The 25,955-nt window shown below is 49.3% G+C and overlaps 1 protein-coding gene across 6 annotated transcripts; it reads right to left on the bottom strand.

Annotated features, from left to right (window-relative positions):
- CYP4B1 (cytochrome P450 family 4 subfamily B member 1) lies at positions 3,890-24,257 on the bottom strand. 6 transcript variants are annotated; one of them, NR_135003.2, is made up of 12 exons: positions 24,042-24,257; positions 12,354-12,495; positions 12,119-12,163; positions 10,680-10,807; positions 9,697-9,821; positions 9,240-9,321; positions 8,988-9,094; positions 8,039-8,229; positions 6,122-6,255; positions 5,274-5,338; positions 5,090-5,172; positions 3,890-4,672 (listed from the first exon to the last, which is right to left on the bottom strand). NR_135003.2 is itself a non-coding variant. In NM_001099772.2 (12 exons), exons 1-12 carry the CDS (start codon positions 24,219-24,221, stop codon positions 4,489-4,491), a joined length of 1,539 nt encoding a protein of 512 aa, NP_001093242.1. In that variant the 5' UTR covers positions 24,222-24,257; the 3' UTR covers positions 3,890-4,488. The 6 variants fall into 6 exon arrangements, 5 of the variants coding, with proteins under 5 accessions (NP_001093242.1, NP_000770.2, NP_001306090.1 ...); NM_001099772.2 differs by having other exon boundaries at positions 9,240-9,394; NM_000779.4 differs by having other exon boundaries at positions 9,240-9,391.

Genomic DNA, 25,955 nt, shown 5'->3' with positions numbered 1-25,955 from the left:
CAGATTGCTGTTGCAGGCCCCGGCAAACAGTCAAAAAACTGTGAGTGTCTAAAGTGTGAAAGGGGACTCATCTGCCCCTGAACACACACCCTCATTGGGAAAACTGAAAGTCCAGATCGAGGGAGTAGGATTTGACCTTACCTGGAGCTGAGATGAATTTACAGAGCTGAGTGAAATACAGGGGTAGAAGAAGCACTGGGCACTCTCAGTCCCCAAAGAAGCCATTTCTGACTTTGTCTCATAGGAGTCCCTAGGGAGGGCTGCCAGAGGAACTGGGAAAAGACCACACAAAGAAGGAAATTTCCAGCCGAACTTCGTAATAAATTTGACTGAACGTGAAGTTTCCTGGACAGAACCTGGGGGAGGGGGAAATTGGGAGTACAGACACAGCACAGAAGCCACAGCAGGTGAGGAAGCATGAAACCTGAATGCCCTGCTTGCTTTCTCAGCCAGGAGGCTGGCAACCTGGGGCAACTTCTCAGCCCTGCTCACCCACTGCCTGGAAATAAACTCAGTGCTGTTGGTGAAGCATAATGGGAATGAGACAGGCTTTTGGGGCTGCATGGGAGCTAGGTAAGGCCTATAATTATGGCTTTCCCTGCTTCCCTGGTAACCTGCATGACACAGCAGAGGCAGCCATAATCCCCCTGGGAACATAATTCCACTGGCCTGAGAACCACACTCCCATCCCCCACAGCTGCTGCAGCAAGCCTCACCCAAGGAGAGTCTGAGCTCAGACATGCCTAACCCTGTGCCCACCTGATAGTTTTTCTCTACTCACCTTGGTAGCCAAAGACAAAGGACATAATCTCTTGGGAGCTCTATGGCTGGCCCCTCCCTATACTACCACAGATGATGCTCTCTTTAAAGTGCCACCTCCTGGCTGAAGGTCAACCAACACAAAACAAGCACAATAAACAAAACTACAACCCAGGACCCTCACGTAGTGAGAGCGGAAGCACGGAAGACTGAGGAAGCCAGGCTCCTTTCAAAACCCACATTCTCAGGAACTAATCCCTTACAGTTAGAGCAAAAACTCATATGCCTCTGCAGGGGGACATTAATCTTTTTTTTTTTAATACTTTAAGTTTTAGGGTACACGTGCACAACGTGCTGGTTTGTTACATATGTATACATGTGCCATGTTGGTGTGCTGCACCCATTAACTCGTCATTTAACATTAGGTATATCTCCTAATGCTTTCCCTCCCCCCTCCCCCCACCCCACAACAGGCCCCGGTGTGTGATGTTCCCCTTCCTGTGTCCAAGTGTTCTCATTGTTCAATTCCCACCTATGAGTGAGAACATGGCGGTGTTTGGTTTTTTGTCCTTGCGATAGTTTGCTGAGAATGATGGTTTCCAGCTTCATCCATGTCCCTACAAAGGACATGAACTCATCATTTTTTATGGCTGCATAGTATTCCATGGTGTATATGTGCCATGTTTTCTTAATCCAGTCTATCATTGTTGGACATTTGGGTTGGTTCCAAGTCTTTGCTATTGTGAATAGTGTTGCAATAAACATACGTGTGCATGTGTCTTTATAGCAGCATGATTTATAATCCTTTGGGTATATACCCAGTAATGGGATGGCTGGGTCAAATGGTATTTCTAGTTCTAGATCCCTGAGAAACCGCCACACTGACTTCCACAATGGTTGAACTAGTTTACAGTCCCACTAACAGTGTAAAAGTGTTCCTATTTCTCCACCTCCTCTCCAGCACCTGTTGTTTCCTGACTTTTTAATGATCGCCATTCTAACTGGTGTGAGATGGTATCTCATTGTGGTTTTGATTTGCATTTCTCTGATGGCCAGTGATGATGAGCATTTTTTCATGGGTCTTTTGGCTGCATAAATGTCTTCTTTTGAGAAGTGTCTGTTCATATCCTTCGCCCACTTTTTGATGGGGTTGTTTTTTTCTTGTAAATTTGTTTAAGTTCTTTGTAGATTCTGGATATTAGCCCTTTGTCAGATGAGTAGATTGCAAAAAATTTCTCCCATTCTGTAAGTTGCCTGTTCACTCTGATGGTAGTTTCTTTTGCTGTGCAGAAGCTCTTTAGTTTAATTAGATCCCATTTGTCAATTTTGGCTTTTGTTGCCATTGCTTTTGGTGTTTTAGACATGAAGTCCTTGCCCATGCCTATGTCCTGAATGGTATTGCCTTGGTTTTCTTCTAGGACATTAATCTATTTATGAGAGATCCACCCCCATGACCCAAACACTGCCCACAAGGCCCAGACTCCAAACACTGCCACATTGGGAATCAAGTTAGCAACCAGAGTCTGAGCAGTGACACACCACATCCCAACCAGCAGGGCTGTTGTGAGCTGAGCAGGAAAGCCTCACAGGCCTGGTCTGGCATGAGGGCCTCAAGGACCCAGCCTCTCATACCCGCAATGAGACGTGAAAAGGGAGCCCAGCCTGGCCACATGACCAGGCACCTGTCGGTCTCCCTCACACATGAGGTCTGCAGGCTCTTCAGGAAGTTCACAGAGTGGGCAGCTATCCAGCAAGGTCTGGGAGGAGCCAAGGTAGACAAATGGGTCTGGCCAGTGGAGAGGATGTCGGACCCCAAGCACTTCCTCCCCCACACCACAGCCTTGTGGTGGTTTCCTGCCTCTCTGGCTGGCCACTCCGAGTGAACAGGGACATCCTCAACCCTGTCCACACTTGGTGACTGCCTTGGAGCTGTTTCAACACCCAGTCCCCTACTTCTCACAGCTTCACTGGACTGGTGTCCCTGCTGTGCCAGTTTCTCTCCATTTAGACCTTGCTTCTCTTGCTGGATCTGAGCACAGGTGTCCCCCATTTTTAGCCCAGGTCCCTGAATGCCATAGACAGACCTTCTTTTTACTAAGATGTGACATCTTTTTCTGCTTCTCTGACAGGGCTTCTCCCTAAATTGGTGGCTGTAGGCAGAACCTCCCTCCCAGTCCCCTGACCTCCCAAATCACTGGGTTACTTTAGCCCTGCTCTGAGAAGAGGCAGGAAAGGAGCAGCCTGGACAGTCAGTGCTTGACTGGGGTCAGAGGGAGAGGGTTGGGACAGAAGAGTGGGCTGGGAACTTCCTGCACAGGATGTTCAGCAGGTCCCTAGTATCAGATAGCACGCGAGGGCTCGTGCTGGCCATGCTCAGAGAACAAAGGACAGTGGGGGCTCAGAATTCTGGGTGGTCAGCCATGGAGAGTTGCTCTAACCACAGGATCCCATAGGGCATGAATGAGCGACCAAAAAGTAACCTGCTCAGTCCATGCAATGGGCAAGACTCAGGCTGAGTGCACATCTGTGCACATTCCATGACACCATATAGAGACACTCAGGCACAGCCACACCTGTATGTGTCCATTGCACACTCCACATTCAACCCACACACATGTACACACATGTCCAGGATCATAGGAGGCAGCAGAGTGTGTTTAGAGAACTGGAAGAATTAAATGGAATCCATCTTTGGTGCCCACCATTCCCCAGCCTCCTATCTCCCTCCCACAGGGAGCCTGTCTATCCCTTCTCACACCAAAGCTCTTAGCTCCTTTTCACACTGACACACACTCTCGGAGAGTGTCAGTACAATGATGGAGTCTTGGTCAAAGAGGCCAGAATCAGAGGCCTCAGCTCAAGCTCCTCCCAGATGAGTGTCTTACAGGTTCCTTCCCTTCCTACAGAAGTGGAATAATGGCCCCCTCCCATCCAGCCTCCCAGGCCTCCTCAAGGCCTGATTTAAGCTGATTCAAGTGGGGGAGAGGGGTTCCTTTCCTCCAGGAAACCCCCTTCTAATGCCACTTGGCCACCTTCCCCAGCTGAACCCTGAATGCCTGGAGCACCACGTGACTGTGAGACACAGACACTGACAATGGCAGGGGTGCCACAGAGACCCATCTCAGGAGGAGCAGAAGACACATCAGTGATACCATATTCCATATTTCTTGACTTCAGTGATGGTTACAAGAGAGTCTGCTTCAGAATTATTTATTATTTTGTACAGTCTTCATTTAGGTAATTTTTTCTTATGTCTGTTATATTCTAAACACACACACACAAAGTTCAACAAAGAAACACATCTCAGTGAAGGGGCACTCCCCTAAGCCATTCTTCTATTTGGTGGTACCCAGCCATAACCATGAATCTCAGGGCAAAACTTTCCTTGTGCTCACTATGAGTCTCTAAGGTTGGAATGTAAGTTTCTGCTGCATTTTTAAGTTTGCCAATTATAGGAGATAAATGAAGTTTCTCGAACGAAATAGGTGCTCACCAAATGTTTGTTGAATAAATGAATGAGCTCTAGAATACATGCATGATAAACATTTATAGACACACATTTTTACATAGCACTGTCCTCTAGGAGTCGTCTATGGTAATGCCTACTTCCCTTCTAAACTACAAGCCTCCTGAAGGCAGGGGGCCCCAACTCCTCCACACCCAGCCTGGGGAGGGTGGTGCCCAGGGAGGTCACAGCCTGAGCCATCTGGGACCCCATTCTCATCAGAGCTACTTCCCAGACCCAGGGCCCAGTGGCTTCAGGTGGAGGTGAAAGCCATTCTTGGAGCGCAGGACAAGCTGGGGCATCTTGATGGGCAGCCGTGAGGGGTCCAGAGAGAACTCAAAGCGGAGCAAGCACATGGCTGTGACCACCTTCATCTCACTCATGGCAAACTGCTGCCCAATGCAGTTCCTGTAGCAAGCAGCACAAAGAGTCATCGTGCAATGGAGCATCCAGAGTGATGACATTCAGTGCTCTTAGCAGCCAACAAAAGTCAATAACTGTTTTTGGATGAATAACTGGCTGATAGATTGGTTGACCTGGGCTTATGAAACAAACCTTGGGAGCATGGTGAGGGTCCCAGACCAGGTAGATTCACATGGTGGGGGTCTGGCATGGGGTTCTCTCTTGGAATGACTCATCTATCCCACCCACTTCCCAGGGACAGGAATATGATAATTGCAAGAAGAAGCCTCCTGCATTAGAACCACCACAAACCCAGCATGATTCCCCTTTATTCAGAGTACCTTCTAATAGTGCCTCCCCTATGATGTCATCCACCCTCTCCTCCCCAGTCCTGAGGGCCTGGGATACTGGGTCTCTCCATACCTGGGCCCAGCAGAGAAGGGCATAAAGGCAAAGGGATGGCGTTTGGATGCATTCTCAGTGGAAAAGCGCAGAGAGTCAAAGACCTGAAGGGACAGGCCTTGCTTAAACACTCGCCAGGTTCTGGCAGAGGGTGACCCTCCCAGTCCCCCACCCTGTCTGATCTCCCAGCCCAGGGAAAGGGTACCTCAGGGTCGGGCCATACAGCACTGTTCCTATGGAGGGCATAGATATGCATAGAGATCAGGCTTCCTGTGGGCAGAACAGAGGTTGGTGACCAGGTAGTCCTGGGTAGCCAGGCCTACCTCCACATAAGGTCAGAGTCCCCTAGTGACCCCTTAACTGGGGTGCCAGCTCCTGCCTGACCACTGCCAGTGACAGAGCGTTCATGACCACATCCGACTCATCACAGTACTTTGATCATCATGATGCCCAGTTCCTGTAATCCCGGCACTGGGTACAGCACCTGATAGACATTTGTGAGATGAATAAAGGGGAGAATGAACCCATCCATCATGAGGTAGAACAGGAAGGAACTATTAAACCTTTTCAGCTAACTGACTCTTGGGAAGTTATTATTCATAATATTATACTGCCAACAGTAACAGCTATCATTCACCAGGTGCTTGCTATGAACCAGGTACAGGCTTAACACTCTTTATGAAGCTACCACATACAGTTGTGCAGGTTGCACACTGCACAGCATCATAGTCTATGTGAGTGTTGCTCCCTGGTGCTGTTCAGGGCATGACCTGCATGGTGGTACATGGCAGCCTTGGTGAACATTCTCTTTAATCCTGACAGCAGCCTAGAAACATAGATACTCTTCTCATCCCCATTTTACAGAAGGGGAAATGGAGGCTCAGAGGTAGAAGAATTGATCAATATGTTGTGGGGCTGGGATTTAGACCCAGGGCTCTCTGAACGCAAAGCCTGAGCTCTTCCCCAAAAGTGCAAAGATTTGACTAAAGGCACAGAGGGTGCCAGAGGAGCATGCAGGGACTCCTTTTCCACCCCCAAATCCACCCATCCCACCTGCAGGTAGAGACCGGCCATCCACAAAGGTGACAGGCTTGCTGAGCTGGCGGTACACCTGGGGCACAGGTGGGTAGAGGCGGAAGCTCTCCTTGATGCACATGGTCAGATAAGTCATTTTGCCCAGATCATCCCTGCCAGCAACACAACCAGAACATTCTTGGAATGGGAAGCAACAGGATTTGGCGAGAAAGCAGACCCCAGCCCCAGTTTTCCTCCCTCACCACCACCACACACTCAAGAGTCAGAGGCACAGAGTTCCAAGTGCCCCTGGCCAGGCTAGGCCTGACATGGTGTGAACACTCAGATCTAAAGGATCTGGTTCCACTTTTCTCCATCCCTTTCTCATCTTCACTGGTAGGAGAAGAAGGCACAGGACCCTAGAGATGAAGGTGCACCCAGCCATCAAAGACAAGGTCACTTCTGCAACTCTCAGGACCCCCATGGAAGCCTACAAAGGACAGTTCTTTAGGTTTCAGCTTGGTTTCCCCTACTGAGCTGAATGAAAGAAACTGGGGCTGATACACGTTGGTTGAATGAACCAACCAAAGTTGATGCATTATTTAATGAGGTGAAGTGTGTGTGTGTGTGTGTGTGTGTCTTTTCCCTTTGGCAACCGGGAAGCTCAGGCCCAAATGTGACATCCAACTATAACTACAGGGCAATATTTTATTGCAGAGTCCCCAAACTCCCCACTGGCTCTTATTTTTCATTTGCATTTTACTATTTTATTGAATAACTGTCCTCTAAGTTGCTTCAAGCTCTAGATGGAATGACGTGAAAATAAAATAAATATTCTAATCCCTGCCTCGGGTTGTGTTCACATTGTTACCCAGCCTACAATGCCTACCTCTCTCTCTTTGCCTGAATTTTAACCCTCCTTAGAAAGTCAGTTCAAGCCTCACTCCTTCCCTCTGCCCTCAACATTCAGACCACGTGATCCTGTGATTTTTCTCTCGCTGTTTGATTATGTGAATTTGTCTCCATAAAACTCCCCACGAGCAGCATGGCTTCTCTTTCTCTTCCGTTCTGCACCCCTGATAGCACCTGGCATGTGTCTGGATACCCCGTGGGGGGGGGATTCTCACATATGACCAACAGAAATGGTAATGGAGGCTTCATACTCCAGGTCCTAGACCCTGGAGTTATAGGTCAGTCCCTTTCAAGTGGATCTAAAGTTCCCCCTCTGGCTCAGCATTTTCTGTACCCCTGCTGTGTGCCTAGCCCCCTCTTGGAGGCTGCTCAGGAGCCCAGAGAGAAAGGCAGGTTGTCTGACCACAAGCAAAGGCCTGAGGGGAACAGGCAGCCAGCAAGGGTGAAGGAGCCTCTTGAGAGACTCCCAGAGATCACACTGCAGAGAGGTCAGGGTCAATCCTTAAGTGTTTAGGAGTTCAGTCTTGAGCCAAGAAACAGGGGAAAACAATGGAAAGTTTTTAAGTGATGAAGTTTGGGGAAGTCTTTTCTCCTTCACCAGCAGGAGAGATATGGCATCTGGAAGCTGAGTATTGCCATCCAAAGGCAAGTAGCAAGGAACTGGCTCTCCCAGCTGTCTCAGCTCTGTTCACCCCCACATTTCCACCTCTTTCTCTCCCAGCTCTCCCTACTCTATCCAGGGACCCAGAAGGGTAATCAGGTTCTACCGTCAGAAGAAGTTAGCACACAAAATATCAGCCTCTTGTTGACAACTTTCTCTACATAACACTTCTGAAAGGCTCCATTTTGGGAGAATGGGCTCAGGGGTGCATCTGTGCCCAGCCAACCACTCTCCCCACCCCCCACCACCACAAAAGGTATGACACTGGGGGTAACAGGATAGCAGCCGCCACCTCACCTGATTTCCAGGATGGTTCAGGACAGGATGGGCATCGCCCTTCCCAAGGGCTGAGCAGGATAAACCGGGCCCACCCTCAGACTCACCACTGGAAGAAGTCCTGGTCCCCTAGGATCTCGCGGACCTCCTCTCTACAACGATGCTGGTGCTCAGGGTACAGGGCCATGCAGTAGAGAAACCAGGAGATACCACTGGTGGTGGTGTCATGGCCTTCAAACATGAATGTGTCCACTTCAGCCCGGAGGTCTGCATCTGACAGTTTGATGTCATCTTCATCCTGGGTTAGGGAAGGCATAATAGGACAGCTTGAGGTATTGGAGGTGGGTAACAAGAAGAACTCATAATGGTGGTTGTCAAATGAAGGTCTCTGGGAGGGAGTGAAAGCTCCTTTTCAGAGGGTGGATTAGGACCTTCCCCCAGATTCCTATATTCCTTCAAAGCTCAGCCTGGATGCCTCCTCCTCCACAAAGCCCTCCCTAAATGCTCTGGCCAAATGACTTGTGACCTTGTCCAGCCCTGACTGTTCTGCTCACTGGGCACATAGAATACCACCTGCCAGAGGAAGACATTTTGGTCAACATCTACCTACTGTCTCCCCTGCTGGACTGTAAGCATCTGGAAGGAAGGGCCAGGTCTTTCCCATCTCTGCATCCTAGCACGGAAATGACCCAGAGTCAGAACTCAGTGAGTTTCTAGAATTGATGAATAAAGAACTTACTGAATGAATGAATGAATGAATGAAGTCTAAGATTCTAGGATTCTACAAGGCCAACATTTTGGGGGATCTTAGAAGTCTAGAAATGTCGTCCAGCCACTACCACGTGACCTAGGCTCCCAACTCCACAGCTCAGGCACACACACCCTACACCTGCCCACCTCTGAACCCCTGCTAATATGTTTCATGGGACGAGGAACAGGTTATATTTGCTGAGGAAAGGGGGAAATGCTTAAGAGCTCCTTCTGCTGTCCTGGGAGGATGGTTGAAGACCTCTCTGGGACCAGTCCTCAGGTAGGGGTGGGCAACAATGTACTCACCCGGGCACCCAGGAGAATGTCCAGGAAGTCCAGGTGCCTCCGGTTCTGGATCTTCTTCCGCACCTTCTCATCCTGCAGGGCTGCCTTCCGCTCCCTGATGACCTGGTCTGAACCAAAAGCACAGAGTGTCACTGCCTGGGAAGCCATCTTTTGTCCAAAGGGGAACTGGGGTCCTATAATGGGAGGGGGCATAGAGGGGCCAGGAGGAGGAACCCAGGCTTCCTAGAGGTGAGCCTTGTGGGAAAGGCCCACCTGTATGGTCATGGGCCACCTGGCAGGCCCGCAGGAAGCGGCGGCCATGTGGGGTGAGCCAGTAGATGAAGTCATTATGGTACTGGAAGGACACAAGGCGCTGCTGCATCAACAGAGTGAGATCGCTGACTGCAAGGTAGTAGCTGCTGTCCCTGCTAAGCAGAGGGTAGGAGGAGGGATTGGCTTAGACACTGGCCCAGGAGCAGAGCCAGAGAAACTCCATTCCAGGAATCTAGCCCCAACCACAGAGCATCCTGCTCTTCTTCTCCCTGCCCTTAAGCCTCCTTGCTAAAGCCAGGTGTTTACCCCACCATGAGCAGGTCCTGTCTCCCCGCAAGCTAAGGCTCCCTGGGGCAGGACCCTATCTCTTCTCAGATCAGAGCCCAGGACCCCTGCCAACTCTCCCCTCTAAGATGGCTTTGGAGACAGTGCGGTCAGCCCCGAGGTGGCTCCTGACCTGTGGCCCAGGCCGGTGTCTCCTCTTCCAAAGGTGCACTTCATGAGTGTGTTCAGCGCCATGTGACCCACATCGCAGAAGATGTCAAAGGACTTACCCTCCCGAGCTTTCTCTTCCCACTTGTCCTGGAGTCCAGGGATAGGAGGCAATGTGTAGGAGGCGATGCAGGGGTTAGTTGGGCTGGATGCCCCAAGCTGCCCTCCAGGACCCGTAGCCTATCCTCCACCACCAAGCCCCCTTCACACACTCCCAGTCCCTGTCCTGCCCTCCATCCTGCTGGAATATCAGGATAGGGTGGGTAGAAGTTTGGAAGCCTCTGGGCTTCAGGCTCAGAGGGCAGGACCAGGAGGCAGATCTTGCACAGCACACAGACGTTTTCTCCCAGTCAGGGCAGCCTATAAGGGAGTAGGATGGCTGAGAGGTGGTGAGCTCCCCCGCATGGTGTATATGTAAGTAATCCTGGAGGGGAGTTTCCTACAAGGGGAAAGACTAGCCTGGATAACTTAGGGATTACCCAGCCCTAAGACTCTAACCCTGACCTCTGACATCCCTCTTAGAGATGAGTTGTATTGACATAATTCTGGGCAGCTGTGGTAGACAGAAAATGAGGAGACACGTTTTAGATGTGAAAGCCTTTCCCCATACTCTCAAATATAGGCAGTCCTCAAACCTGCTATGCTAGGAGCCTTATTAAGTTCTCACAGAGACCCTTTGGCCTGGGAGGAAAGAGGGCTGGGTCTCCTGGTGGAGACAAGGATCGGGCTGCCAGGACACTTAGAGATTCAGCACCGACTCAGTGGCAGCCTGCGGCACATGTCAGTAGAGCAGGGCTTTGGCACTGCTGTTGCAGGCAGAACAGGCCTTGGGGCTCAGCTATTCTCCTTACTGCAGAGCACCACCTACTCTCCCCAGGACAAAATCAGGGTGGAGAGGGGCTAGCCCAGCAGGCAACAGCCTCCAGTACTCTGGCACAGGGAGCTCACCAGCATGATACGTGTAGACTCAGTGAACACGGCCACATAGGGCTTCAGCACATCATAATGAAAGCCAGGTGTGAGCAGCTTGCGGTGCTGCAACCACTTGGGCCCCTCAAGAACCAGCAGGCCTCTCCCTGGGGAAGGGATGGGAGAGAGAGGGCTGGTCAGTCCAGGCCCTGGCAGCCTGGGGCTAAGCACATCCTACACGACTCCATCCCTGAGCCTGGAACCCTCCAAGGGTGGGCCACTAAGCGACCCAGTATTGCCCTCCATGCCCTCACCCTAGGCTACCAGGACCTCAGGAGACAGGTGGCAGCAGTTCTTGGCTGAGTGAGCTCCTTCCTTAGGACAGGATAACTCAGTTTCTGTATCTCAGCTGCACCCACAAAGCCTGGGTCCAGGAACTTGTGTCAGATGACATTGCCAGATGTGAGACAAAGGACACGCATCCCCCTGGGGACAGCCAAGCAGAGGGGGAGCCTGCTGAGCCTTGACTCTCAGCTGCTGAGACTGGCCACAGCTTCAGGACTTAGGGAATGTCCCACCGTGTTCGTGCTTCATGGCCTCAGGTGGGACCCTTCCTACCCCACTCCAACACACCCAGCAATGGAAATGCATTCCTGTCTTCAAAACCACCTCTTCATTTTCCTAACCCTTTTCTGTCTGCCTTCTAATTTTATCCTCCCATTGATAACTAAAAAGAGGGTTAGAAGCAAAAAGTCTTCCCAGTGGTACTCGGTGAGTAAATAGGATTGGGAATGTGTTCTCCCTCTTGGCCCTGCCCTTTCTCAGCTCCCAGGAAAACGCTGAAGACACCATAGGATCATGAGTAAAAGAGGAGCTTTGGAGAAGCATATGGCCTTGGCTAAAGAATACTCAATGGCTTTAACTTGAGTACCTCTGTAAAGGAAAAAGTAAAATAAAATAAAATAAAATACTCAATGACTCCCACCTACTCTCAACATCAAATCACCTCCTTATCCTGGCAGTCAAGGCTGGCCTGTCCTCCCTGCCCAGCATCATCTCCAAGCTGGGCTCTGCCTTGTAGCCACCCCGACAGCCTCACAGCCTCTGGTGACCAGCCGTGGTCCTACCACCACACCATTTCCTTAGGCCCTTGCCCTGGCCAGCACTACCTATTTAAATCTCCTTTTGGATCAACTCTAGTGCCACCTCCTTCAGGAAACTGTTCTTCGCACTCACACATTCTCCAAAGCCTTTGCCCTGTCTAGAGAATCAGGCCCTGCCAGAGAAGATGCCTTGGCCCCACAGCTGGGGGCTCTCCTGCTCCTCCCTTGTCTCTCCACTGAGCAGCTGAGCTTAGGATGGGCACCCGAGAACTAGGCCATCTGGGATAACCAATTGAGTGGGACAGGCCAGGATCCTAGTCACCCAGCACCACGGGTCTGAGGTTGGCAGGGCAGGGAAGGCAGGTGCTCACTCACCAATCCACTGGAGGAAGAAGTCATACACATCAGGGGCCTTAGGGTCTGCAGGAGGAGACAATCAGGTCAAGCAGGGACCCGGGGTTCCTAGAGGAGGCTCATTTATGAGTAGGGTGGGAACCTCAGCTCCGCAGACTTAGTACACAGGCCCAGGCTTCCTCCCCATATCATGCCCTGAGCCCTTTGTTCTCAGGAAGCCCCACCCTCTCCTGAGATCCCCATCCTCTCTCCTCACCCCCACGGCTGTACACAGCTTTGGCATAGTCAGGCTCATAGATGTTCAGGAAGCCAATGAACTGTCCGAACCAGAGTGGGTGGGCATACGGGAACTGGTGGGCCCAGGACACCACTTTGTCCAGGCTCCCCGTCTCCTGGATCTGAAATGATGACAGAAGGCCAAGGTCACTCAGGAACACATTGTCACCAGCTAGGCCCCAAGTCCCTGGGAGGGCAGGGGAGAAGGCTGCCCAGGCAGGCCCTGGTTGCTTCCTTACCTCTCCTGCACCCTCTTCTCCTAAACATCCCTGGGCTTAGTCCCCTCTCCAGCCCCACAACCACTGCTCTAATTCCAAGCCGCCCTCTTCTCACACCGGGGTTAGCTCAACATCCCCAAAGTAGCCAACCTGCTTCCATTTAGCACCTGCCACCAACTCTCTACTGCACTGCAGCCAGAAAGTGCTTTCTTCTCCACATTAAAGCTCTTTAATTATAAAGATAGGTAATATTTGCTCATTGTGCAATAGAGAAATGGCCTCAATTCCACCCCTGCCGTATCGTTCAACACATTTTTATTGAGGGCCTACATGTGCAGGGCTCTGTTCTAGACATCTCAGGGGAATGAGACAGACAAGTTCTGCCCTTTCATTCTATGGAGAAGACAGATAATAGACAAGTAGACAATTAAGTAAAATAATCACAGACAATAGTGAGTGCTCAGAATAAAAACAGTGCTATGAGAGACACTAACAGGGAGGGCCTGCTTAGATAGGGTAATCTTGGAAGGCTTCTTGTTGGAGACAACATTTAAGGTGAAACTTGAAGGATGGTGAGTCTCTGGCCATGTGAAGCATAAAGGAAAAGCATTCCAGGTGAGAAAACAGAAAGCACAAACGCGCTGGGTTGGGAAAGATCATGGTGTCTTCCAGGAGCTGCCCCATGGTGGGACAGTCACCTGGGATGAGCTTGAATAGGTCATCCAGAGGGTGGTACATGTCCTTTGGAGGTTTTTCTAGTCACGTTTACTCACCCAGAGGTGTTTTAAGTAAATGAAGTTATACAATAAATATTTTTGCAAAACCAGCCATTTTTCATTGAACATAACTTGTCCTCCTTTCCAAGCTAGTGCACTTAACTGTCATTACTATTTTTAACAGTTGTGTAGTATTTCACTATAAGGATGTACCATAATGTATTTAACTATTTTTCCCCATTTAGTGGGAGTCTTTCAAAGATACACTTAACACTCCTAGTGGCCTGCCCAGGGGCCTTGGAAAAGGTCCAAGCTCTGGAGTTTGTGGGGAGGCATGGTAATGACTAATCTTTATTAAGCACTTGCTGTGTGCTAGACCTTGTTCTAAGCACCTTACATTTTGACCTGATTGAATCCTCACAACAACTCTAAGTGGTCCCATTTTAGGGAAGAGGAGCCTAAGGAATAGAGAGGTTAGGTTACAGTCCCATAAAATTCCTGTTGAGGCCTGAGCCTGTGCTGGGCCTGCTTTTTCTCTCCGTAAAATTCTCTCTCACAATTGCCACCTATTCACTGATAGTATCCAAACAAATTAGGAAGGGAAAAATGTCCAAACCTTAATAATTTGGACATTTGTCCCCTCCTAATCTCATTTTGAAATCTGATCTCCAATGTTGGAGGTGGGGCCTCATGGGAGGTGTTGGCATCATAGGGGTGGATCCCTCATGAATGGCCCTGGGGCCATTCTGGCAGGATTGAGTGAGTTCTCTTAGTTCCCATGAGAGCTTTTTTTTGTTTTGTTTTGTTTTGTTTTTTTTTAAGGATTTTGCATATTGTTTATTTTTTTGTTTTTTGTTTGTTTTTTGGGTTTTTTTTATTATACTTTAAGTTTTAGGGTACATGTGCACATTGTGCAGGTTAGTTACATATGTATACATGTGCCATGCTGGTGCGCTGCACCCACTAACTCGTCATCTAGCATTATGTATATCTCCCAATGCTACCCCTCCCCCCTCCCCCCACCCCACCACAGTCCCCAGAGTGTGATATTCCCCTTCCTGTGTCCATGTGATCTCATTGTTCAATTCCCACCTATGAGTGAGAATATGCGGTGTTTGGTTTTTTGTTCTTGCGATAGTTTACTGAGAATGATGATTTCCAATTTCATCCATGTCCCTACAAAGGACATGAACTCATCATTTTTTATGGCTGCATAGTATTCCATGGTGTATATGTGCCCCATTTTCTTAATCCAGTCTATCATTGTTGGACCTTTGGGTTGGTTCCAAGTCTTTGCTATTGTGAATAATGCCGCAATAAACATACGTGTGCATGTGTCTTTATAGCAGCATGATTTATAGTCCTTTGGGTATATACCCAGTAATGGGAGGGCTGCAGGCAACCTACAAAATGGGAGAAAATTTTCGCAACCTACTCATCTGACAAAGGGCTAATATCCAGAATCTACAATGAACTCAAACAAATTTACAAGAAAAAAACAAACAACCCCATCAAAAAGTGGGCGAAGGACATGAACAGACACTTCTCAAAAGAAGACATTTATGCAGCCAAAAAACACATGAAAAAATGCTCATCATCACTGGCCATCAGAGAAATGCAAATCAAAACCACAATGAGATACCATCTCACACCAGTTAGAATGACAATCATTAAAAAGTCAGGAAACAACAGGTGCTGGAGAGGATGTGGAGAAATAGGAACACTTTTACACTGTTGGTGGGACTGTAAACTAGTTCAATCATTGTGGAAGTCAGTGTGGCGATTCCTCAGGGATCTAGAACTAGAAATACCATTTGAGAGCTGTTTGTTAAAAAGAGTCTGGCACCTCTCTCTCTCTCTCTCTCTTTCTCCTTTCCTCCTCTCTTGCCATGTGATGTCTGCTCTTCCTCATGAATAGCAGTTTCCTAAAGCTCCTCCTCATGAATAGCAGTTTCACCAGAAGCAGATATTGACCATGCCTCCTGTACAGCCTGTGGAACTGTGAGCCAAATAAACCTTTTACCCAGTCTCAGGTATTCATTTACAGCAACACAAAGGACTAAGACATCCATGTTGTATCTTCCAGGGAACATTCTTAAAGAAGGACACAGGCATCTGATAATGTAGCCCCCAGGGATCCTTTCTGGCCCAAGCCACTATCTCCAAGGGCTCATGGGATTGGGCCTATTTTGGCCTCCAGCCACCCGTCTGTGCCTTCTCTAGGGCTCTTCCCCTCCTAGGCCCTCTGTGGAGTCGTCTGTAATCATCCCATTGATCCCTTCCCTCACTGCCTCTGAACGCAGAATCCTGAGTTCAACCCAACAGGGCTGTAAGAGTTTTCACTGCCCTTGAGTACACGATGTCAAAAAGAACACAAAGTGATAAAAATCATCTCCACCCACAGGCAAGGGGAAACATTCTTGTATGCCTGCCTCCCTCCTGGCTGGTATCCCTGGAAGTGCTCCTTTCCCTGGTGTCTGTCTTATTTTTCCATCTGCCCTCCTGGGTTTTCCTTGCCAACTTCCTGGTCACCTGGCCATTCCCCTTCTCTCCATCCCTACCAGGTCCAGAAAGCCCAATTGGATGGGTCAAGGAAAGGCTTAAGTCACAAAAAAGCCAGACTCATAGGATCTTAGGATTGGAAGGAGCCTTTGGCTGATCTGGTTCATCCAAGCCCCACTTCCCTCCTTATCAGCTATGCTTGTGCACCTCTGCAGCAACCCCACAAGGGACAGTAGACCCTGGTCTCATGCTGACCACATTCACAACCTGTGCCCTGATCGAGGTCGCAGCCAGCTTGCCACTGCCTCCCTGTGCCCAGCTTTCTCCTAGCTCTTTAGATTTATTTAAGAAATAAAGAAAACTAAGATAAATAAAAAACATGTGCATGAGCCCAAGCGATGGCCAAACTTTTAAATAAAGCTAGAGAACTAGAAGCACCTGCCAGGCACCTGCCTTGATTACCCCGGGAGCCTGGTAAGAAGGAGGACAGCTCCCAGCACCTGGTCCCACTATTGCAGCTGCAGCCCCTCAAGAGGGCTGAGGCATCCTCCCTGTGGGGTACACGTGACTGCCTGGACAGTTCCTCTGGATTACACAACTGCATGCCTCAGACTCGCCCTCAGAATGCCTGAGCTGGGACACTTACAGGACTGGAAGTTCTGGGACGGCTTGTTTTTTCTCCAGAAGGAAGGAAACAGGAAGAGAGCAGGGTATGAAAATAATTCACTGATCCCAGCTCCCCAGCCCCACCTCCCACCCTCACATTGGCACTCCTTGTTGACCTCACCAGAAATAAACCACTGGAGGGATTGGGAAGAGCAAGCATACGTCACCACTTTCCTCTCTGCTTCTCAAGAGCCTAAAGTAAGCTTTGCTCCAAGAATCAGATCGGAAAAGGATTTCAACATTGCCTAGTGGAACCCTGACCTCTCTTTAAAGGTGGAAACGTGCGGTACAAAGACCAAAGGGAACAGTCCAGCATGAGTTAAGGGAGACCAGGGATCCTGGCTTAGTCTCTTTCTGCAGCCCTTGTTAGCAAGCCTGCTCAAGCCATCAGCCAGTTGACCCGAAGCTCAGTGGGCCAGTGTCCAAGAAACAAGCTACCCTTGACCAGTGTGCTGCAGCTACAGTGCCCCAGGGGGCTGCTTCAGAATGAAAATCAGTCTGCTCACAAAATGGGGATAAGAGTTTCGAAAAACAAAAGGTGAGGGAGGAGAAAGACGAAGGGGTTTCCTTTTCGGCAGCATGTCATAGTTCCCTCAAGGCAGGTCATGTCGGTCTCGGATTCCCAGCACACAGGGTGCCTGCCCAGCACCTTCACCCAGTAAGAATCCCTGCCCAAGTGCTCAAACATCTCTAGTGACAGGAAACTTCTTTTCAAAATACCCCAACCATCTTTGGACAGTCTTAATTCCTCAAAAGGCTTCTTAGTCGCTAAAGTGAAAGACACCTGCCCATAGCCTTCCCCATGGGTCTCCCTCTGGGACCACACAGGCTCCCACTGCCCAGGGAAGTCCTGCAGGGATTGGGAATTGGGGGCTAGAACCCCCTAGGACTGCTCTCCTTCAGGATGGACACCCTTAGGTGCCCTTTGGTGCCCTAGTCTCAGCTGTCTCCCTACTATGGGCCCTCTCCCCACACCCCAAAATTACCAGAGCTCCATGTGTGCATGAGTCCAAGCCACTGCCAAGCTTTTAAATAAAGCTAAAGAGCTAGAAGCCAAGAAAAAAACAACCAAAAGGGAGAAGATGTAGCATCTCTGAAATAACTATAAAAATCAGTGGGAAAAGCAGACTCAATGTACAAAAACTCATTGGGGATTCAGCTGTGAGGTTGAACAGAGCCATGGAGAGCCTGGAAAGAGGGGATCGAATGCAAAATACCCCAGGGAGCAGAGAGGTGACTTCCTCCCATGCTGGTGACAAACATGACTTCATCCTCCATCCTCCCTTTCAAAGACAAATAAACCATTACACATGTACATGTGAACAGATAACATACAGAAAGAACCCCTAGCTCAATAGAAGGAGCAAAGAGACTTTGGGTGAGATCAGTGTGGTCACCAGGACTCTCTAGCCACCATGCCTTGGCTAGGAAGTGATGATGGGCTTTGCCCAAAGTCACACAACTAGCATCGTGCCCCAGTCTTTAGATTCCAAAGCCTGTGCTCTGCCCCCAACATCCCTCCTGTCTTCAGCATCCAAAGGTGAACTCCAGACTCAGGAGCACCCAATCAGATGAGAGGAGGAATGCAGGAAAACATCCAAACAGCTAAAAAGGCAGGAAGGCAGGGACCCAAGAAATGCCCAAGAGTCCAAGGGGATGCAGTCATCTGTCCTCAGTCCGCATGGGTGGCTTTGCTGCCCAGAGTTGGTTCCCCCCAGAGATTCATCCACTCTTCCAACACATGGGCATTGTGCCAGGGACAGTGCTAGTTTCTGGTTACAGTGGTGAGCAAGACAAAGCCCTGCCCCACCAGCATACATTCCAAGTGGGGAGAAAGAAAATAAAAAGAATCAAATACACCAAGAATACAATTTCATGTAGTGATAACTCCAGAAAGAAAAAAAGCAGAGTAAGGGGCAGGGCTGCCACTATGGATGGGGGTGGGTCAGGAAGGCCACTCTAAGGTGACATTTCAGCAAAGATCAGCAGAAATGCCTTCTGGAAAGCCCCATGGCATCAGCCACAATCTGCTTCTCAAAAACTTTTATTTCAACTGCCCTCTCTACCTCTCCCCTCCTCACTCCTGGCAGATCACCCTTGCTGTACTTCCCAGAGAAAATAGAAACCATCAGATAAGAAACCCCAAAAAGTCAGCTGGCAGACCTGAAGGACCACCCCACCTGCACCCAGCCTCTCTGTTTCCCTCTGTTTCAGGAGAGAAGCATGCAGGGCCTGTCCAAGACCAGTCCATCTGGATTCCAACCCTCCCCACAAGGCACCTCACCCATCAATCAGCCCCTCTCTCCCAAATCACAGACCTCACCCTCTCTGCAGGCTCCTTCCCATCCTCATTCAAAATTTGTTCAAGTCTCTCACTTTAAAAAAAAAAAAAAGAAAGAAAATGAAACCAAACCTCCCTTTGTTCAGCTTCCTCCTCCAGCTAACACCTTATTTGCTCATCCCTTCATAATCTAACTTCTCTAAAGAGCTGTGCCCACTGTTTCCAATTCCTTGTGATGGCCCCACCTCTCCTATGCTGATCTTGCTAAGGAATCCAGCACCCTCCCTGGCGCTGAGCCCAGTTGACTCCCTGTCTCTCATGCACTGTCTCCTGGATGTCCTCCCCTCTCTCCCAGTGGCTGCCATGGGCAGCTCCTCACCCACTCTTTGTTCCTCCAGATCCAGTCCTTGGCCTCTTCCCTTGCGTCTTCTCCCTGAAAGCTCTCACCTGCTTCTGTGGTTTCCTGTGCCATCTACCTACCAACAATTTCTCAGTTGACAGCTCTTTCCAGTTTACCTTTCTCCTGAGGTCCAGAATCATAATCAACCCCCGGAACTCTCTGCATGACACCCTCCAGATTCTTCAGACCCAGCATTTCCAAACCCACACTCATACACATGTTCGTACACTTTTGTCCCCAAAATCTGCCTCTCCTACTGAACCTGGGGATGGTACCATCACCCACCCAAAAACTAGCCAGGAATATGGAATGTCGTTTTCTCCATGGTTTATATCAATATGAAGAGGGATGCCCTGTGGAGGCAGCCCCTCCTCCCTGCAGGCCCACCAAGTGATTTTTACATTGAAATCAGCAAACCAGAGCAAAAAGAACCAGATGTAGCAGGTCATGGGAGGAGACTCTGCCACGGAATTCTCCAAAACCAGTACTCGAGGATCCCATACCCAGACACTGACAAGTGCTGCCCACCACTGAGCCTCCTCTTCCTGGGTCTCAGATGCCCACATTTTAAAATTGAGACATAGAAATTCATTCCTCCTGTTTACAATCCAGTCTTATGGCTCTCCTTTGATGACTTTCGCTAGATTCTGCTCTAGTCCAGCTGTGTTGATGCCTCCAATTAACAGAGCTCCAAGGGTAATCCTTGTTTCCTTTTCCTGCTACATGGAGGAGCCCTCACTGACCCTCACATCTGGCTATGGTGGAGGTCTCAACGCCTCTCTCTCCTGTGGCTACCATGCCAAGACCTGGCCTGCCCTACCTTCCACTTTCCTCCAGCCCACTGGCTCACTCCCCAACACAAGGTGGAGGCCTGGATCACCTCCACCCTAGCCTCCCTGCCTCCTATTTGCCCTCTGTCAATCTGTTCGCCACCTTGAAGCCAAAGTGATCTTTCTAAAACATAAGTCTGAGCTTGTCTCTCCCTTGCTTAAATTCCTTCCATCATTCCCCATCGTCCTCAAAATAAGGTAAAGCCTTTTGACCTGGCCTCAAGGATCTGTGTGACTGCCCCGTCTACCTCCAGCCTCATCCTCTCCATTCTGTCCTCCCTGTCACCACTGCAGAAGCGCTGAGGTACTAACACAGGTATGTCCTAGACCCCAAAAGACAATTTAATTTCCTAAACACACTGCTTTTTCCAGCCTGTGTGCCTTTTTGCACAGAGAGCACCTTCTGCCTTTTCTTCTGCACTTCCTGCCACAGGTTTCTACCTCCAGATCTTTGAGAATGTGCCTCAGCATCACCTCCCTGGACCTTCCCTGACTCCCCACGCCGAGAGGGGCCCTTCTCTAGGCCCAAAGATTGGTAACACATGTGCTGTGTTATTCATCTCTCCTACAGACCTAGTTCCTCTGAGGCAAGCTCTTTGTCTTGATTCTTCATCCTCTGGCCTCAGCATAGGACCAGACCCAGAGTTGTTGATCAGACACTGCTGGTTGCTTAGGAAAGAGGGACCATATCTGGTTCACAAAGACTGGGTTGATTTGAGAAGAAGGAAGGGGATGAAGAAAGCAAATGCCCCAGGGTGTTTTGTAGCAAGAATCCCTCTATGATGATTTAACACCTGACGTTTATCTGCCCAGTAGTTTGCAAAATACCTATACTTTATCTCTTTCTATCCCCTTCTAACCCAGTAAGGTAAAAATGATTATCTCCACTTTGTTGACAGGGAAACAGAAGCACAGAGAGGTAAAGTGGCTTAGCTAACTGGGCACAGCGAAGGCCTGTAATCAATGTTTACTGAATGAAAATGAGCCACAGCCCTGTCTTCACTACACAGCACAAGGTCAAGGGCACTCTCACAGCAAAGGGCATGGCTGGGAAAGAGGCCTCTGCAGTCTCAGAGTATCTCATTTCCTTGATCTGGGAGCTGGCATTCTACACACACACACACACCCACACACACCAATTTGTTGGCTTCTTTCAAGGGTTCCAACCTCAGGCCAACAATATAGCTGAGCACCTACTATGTGCAAAGTCCTCCCTGGTTCCTAGACTGGAATGAGGGGGACCCTGGAAGAATAGGACATGTCCCCACCTCCAGAAGACACATTCTGAGAATTGAGGAGGATGACAGGTAGATGCTACCAAGGCCTCCAGACTGTAATCAGAGACCAAGAAGGAGAAATTAATCCTGACGGACAGCTCTTCCCTGCCCCCAGTCCCTTTACCCATCAGTCTTCCTCCCCTTCCTACTCCCATCATTGCTGGGCCTAAGAATCAACTTTGCAGTAACCTTTTATGGTCTGACAACATTACGAATTAAAATGCAGAAGTCCTGGGCCCAGTCTCGACCTAACTCCTGAGCTACTAAACAGACATAGACAAATACTTTGCACTCTCTGAACTTCAATGTCCTCATTTTTACATTAGGGAAAATAATCCCCTCTCTGCCCAACCCATTTCTCAAGTTCAGGTATGAATCCAGGCAAGAACAGAGGTGCCAAGCCCTTGAGGACTGCAGGAGTTGTGCTTGCAATGGTTCCCCAGGAAACCTTTGTAGCTCCCACAAGTAGTCACTCCTCCAGCCTTTGTCTGCTCAACCTGATGCCAAGAGAAGGCCCTTCAGACAGTTGTGTTAGAGCCAAGAAGCCAAAGCTAGACTGTGTTCCAGGCCCTCTGCATACTCTCAAGGTGGGGGTGGGGGCCGTTAAGGGGAAGAAAACAGCCAGCTCTGACATGGAGGTGGGGGTGCAAGGTCCCTGTCCTAAAGAAGTCCCTGGCTGAGGGCAAACACAACTTTGACGAAGGCAGGTAGAAGTGGAGAGGGAACAAGAAGAAAGGGAGAAAGTTCTCTCTAAATACCTCTTGTACCCTTTTAGCGTCAGACCTCAACCTTCCCTTGGCCCTCTTGTGTACTTAGCAAAGCCTCTCCCAAGCCCTCCTGGTCCCTTTGCTTTTCTTCTCCCTCATGCTTTCTCCTCTGTGGATACTCTCCCTACCCTCCAACATTCACTACTGGTTCATTAGTGATGCCTACACTATGCTAGGCTTTATGCTGGACCCTGAGGGTACAGGGATGAATCAGATCAGATCTCCATCCTCCAGGAGCCAAAGTCTAGTGCAGAAGTTGAATAGGTAAACAGAAGACTTCAATCCAACAGGACAGGTGCTGAGATCAAAATAATGCGGCTAAGGCAGAATCCTGGGGAGGAACCTCGCCCAGCTCGGGAGCAAGGCTCTGGTGTCTGTTTTCCCTTCAGACCGTAAGCTCTTTGAACCCCAGGCCTGGGTCTGATTCATCTCTCTGACCCACACTTTCCTTTCCTGGATGTCTTCAGGATGCATGTTACAGGGTTATCTGTCAGGGCAAGAATAAGCCTAGAGGTCAAGCTCATTTCTAGTGTCAATCAAGGAAGAGAAGCAGTGCCCCCATCCAGACTGAGAATGAGGAAAGTGAGTTCAGAAGGTAGGAGAAGGAACTTGCCTCACTCTGAGCCTCAATCTCTGGCATGTCAGCCAGGCGCGGTGGCTCACACCTATAATCCCAGCACTTTGGGAGGCCGAGGCAGGTGGATCACTTGAGGTCAGGAGTTTGAGACCAGCCTGCCCAACATAGTGAAACCCCATCTCTACAAAAATGCAAAAATTAGCTAGGCATGGTGGCGCGTGCCTGTGGTCCCAGCTACTTGGGAGGCTGAGGCACGAGAATTGCTTGAATCTGGGAGGCAGAGGTTGCAGTGAGCCAAAATTGCGCCACTGCACCCCAGCCTGGGAGAGAGAGCAAAACTCCCCATCAAAAAAAGAAAGAAAGAAAGAGAGAGAGAGAAAGAGAAGGAAGGAAAGAAGGAAGGAAGGAAGGAAGGAAGGAAGGAAGGAAGGAAGGAAGGAAGGAAGGAAGGAAGGAAAGAAAGAAAGAAAGAGAGAAAGAGAAAGAAAGAAAGAAAGAGAAAGAAAGAAAGAGAAAGAAAGAAGAAAAAAAGAAAGAAAGAAAGGGAAAGGGAAAGGAAAGGAAAAAGAGAGGGAAAGAAAGAAAAGTCTCTGGCATCTCTACCTGGATTCCCCAAGCTGGCTGCAGATCAAAACACTAACACTTGGACAGGTTTATAAATGTAAACTCCTAGTTCCAATCTGACAAATTGGAATCTCCAGGAACTGGAGGTCCAGGAATTTGCTCCTCCCAGTTGATTCCAATTCCCTGCCCTGTGTCTAATTAGAAACCTCTGGTCTAGATCCCCAATACAGTAGGAAACTAAGAGATCTTCCTGAGAGCAGGGGCTAAGGTGGTTCCCACCCTGGAGTAACAGGAAGACGAACCATGATCTGAACCTGGGAAGGTGTCACGGCTCCTGAGCCACCCATAGGCATGGCCGGGAGAGCCCTGCCTTTGGGGACACCAACCGCTTAGACACTCGGTGAGGTCTGTCATGTGGCGGTACTCATCTTCATGCTCACTCTCATTTCCTGCCTTACAAATGGAAATCTTTACACTACACACAACAACACGGACGCTGATTGAGCTTTCAATGGATTGCCTACTTCTATGTACTATCCAGAGGTTTTGGATTTCTGCCATTGCCTTTCTGTCATTGCTGAGCTTTTAGCAGAACCTGGTCCAAACTTTGGGCCTCAGAATGAGGAGAAGGTGTCTGTGCCATGCTTGAGCCCTGACTTGGAAGTTGCCCCCACTTCTGAAGTCAGCTTGAAAGGCTGGAGTGAAGGAGAAATTCCGGTGGGAAAGCTGAATGGAAGCCATGGATCCCAGGACATCATCCCCCTGCCCAAGTTTGAAGTCTCCCTCCACAGCCCCCTGGGAATTAGGCCTGATTCTCTGAAAGGAGGGAGGATGTTTTCTTTCTCCCCCACCCTCCCGACCTCCACATACCTCGAGGGCATGTCCAAAAAGCCAGTGGGTGGGAGGCCCTGGGAATTTGTCCATAGCCTTAGCCAACGTCTGCCTCCGCAGCAGCAGGTGGATGAGCTTGAGAAAGCCTAAGACCAAGATCAGCCCAGAAGCCCACAGGCCCAAGGAGGAGAAGCTCAGGGAGAGGAAGCTGGGCACCATGGTTGCAGTTCCAGCCACCTAGCCTTCATCTGACCTGCCTTCAGCTGCTCCTGGGTTCCTTTATACTCTGGACCCATGCATCTTGTCAGCGTCCAGCCCTAGCCACTCCCTGCAGCCAGCAGCAGCCAAGGCTGGGCTGAGTGCCATAAGGCGGAGACAGCAACCTCCAAAACTGCAAACAACAGAGGAGAGAGCCTAGTGGCCTTCTCCCAAAATTCAGCTAAAGAGAAACCTAATAGTGGACTCCAAAAAAAACAGGCAATGGGTATCCCACCTTGATTCCTTAGAACAAACAGATGGCAATTCTTGGTGTAATCATCAGCATAATAACCACTGTCTTCTCATACAAGCACTGTGAATGTTTCAGGCACTTTTTACATACTATCTCATTTAACCCAAACAGCAAGGAGGTCAGAGGCACTCACATTTTATACCCATTTCCCAGATAATGAAGCTGAGGCTCAGCTTGCCTATGCTTTCTCTCAAGAAAGCTTCCAGTGTCCCCTTCAATGTGAACCCTTAAGAGAGCTGGCATTTATGCTAGGCTCGCAATGCTTTGAGTTCTTTTTTGTGAGGCACCTTCAGAGACAAGGTTCTAGCCCCAAAAGGGAAATACCAGGTCAGAAAGGGGCCAACTCCACCCCTAAAACAATAGTGCCATTTTGACACTTAGGAACATAGAACTTTCAGGGTGATGAGAGGTCATCAAATTCAATCCCTCCTGGCTGGATGGAGCCACTTAAGCTCAAGAGAGGTAGGGAAATATCCAAAGTTGCACAGCAAGAAATTGGCAGCTCCCAGTGCCACAGCCCAGGCTTCTGTGGAAGAACAAGTTTGGCTCAGACCACTGCCTTGCCTGGGGAGGGTATGTTATTTGCAGAGGCAGGCAGATTAAAGAAATCAAACAAGATATGATGTGGCATGCAGAGACTTGAAACAACAAGAAATGCATCAATACCCCAGGACTAAAGGAAGAAGGGAAGAAAATCATGATCCTGTAGCTTGGTGGGGGTTGTATTTATGGGGAACACAGCTAGTGCGAGAGAAGTGATGCTGGAACAGTGGAAGAACAGAGCAAAAATGTCCTAAACTCTTTCATCTGCCATCTCCCATCTCCTACTAGTGTCTCCAATCAGCCAAGCCAATCAGAAGTGAAATGGCAAGGAGCCTGGGGAGTCAGTCTGCAGAAGTCAGCCTCCCAGCAAGATAAGAGCAAGGACAGTCTGGCAGGGAGGTGGCAGGAAAAAAACCAGCAATCAGGTGGACTTGGATCTCAAATCTCAGAACTCAGATCACAGGTTCTAATTCAGAGAATGATAAGCCATCAACATGGCTGCCTTATCCCCTCTGGCACAAGAGACCAAGCCTCCTCCTCTGCTGGGGAGACATAATGTCCAATCTTACCCATAGGCAGAGAAAGCAAGAAGAGAGTACAATGAAAGAACTCCAAAAGTGTCTTCTCCATTGGTCTGTCACACTTCCTGAAATTTCACATTTGTGCTTCATTTTATAGGATCGAGACATTGAGTGCACCATTTAAAAAGCAAGTCATGTTGTATCTTTGTTCTTATTGGTTTCAAACAACATCTTTATTTCTGCCTTCATTTCATTATGTACCCAGTAGTCATTCAGGAGCAGGTTGTTCAGTTTCCATGTAGTTGAGCGGTTTTGAGTGAGTTCATTAATCCTGAGTTCTAGTTTGATTGCACTGTGGTCTGAGAGACAGTTTGTTAT

The sequence above is a fragment of the Homo sapiens genome, chromosome 1 (assembly GCF_000001405.40).
Source record: "Homo sapiens chromosome 1, GRCh38.p14 Primary Assembly".
Lineage (NCBI taxonomy): Eukaryota > Metazoa > Chordata > Mammalia > Primates > Hominidae > Homo > Homo sapiens.
The sequence above is the reverse complement of the archived record's forward strand: the minus strand, read 5'-3'. Positions and strand labels throughout refer to the sequence as shown.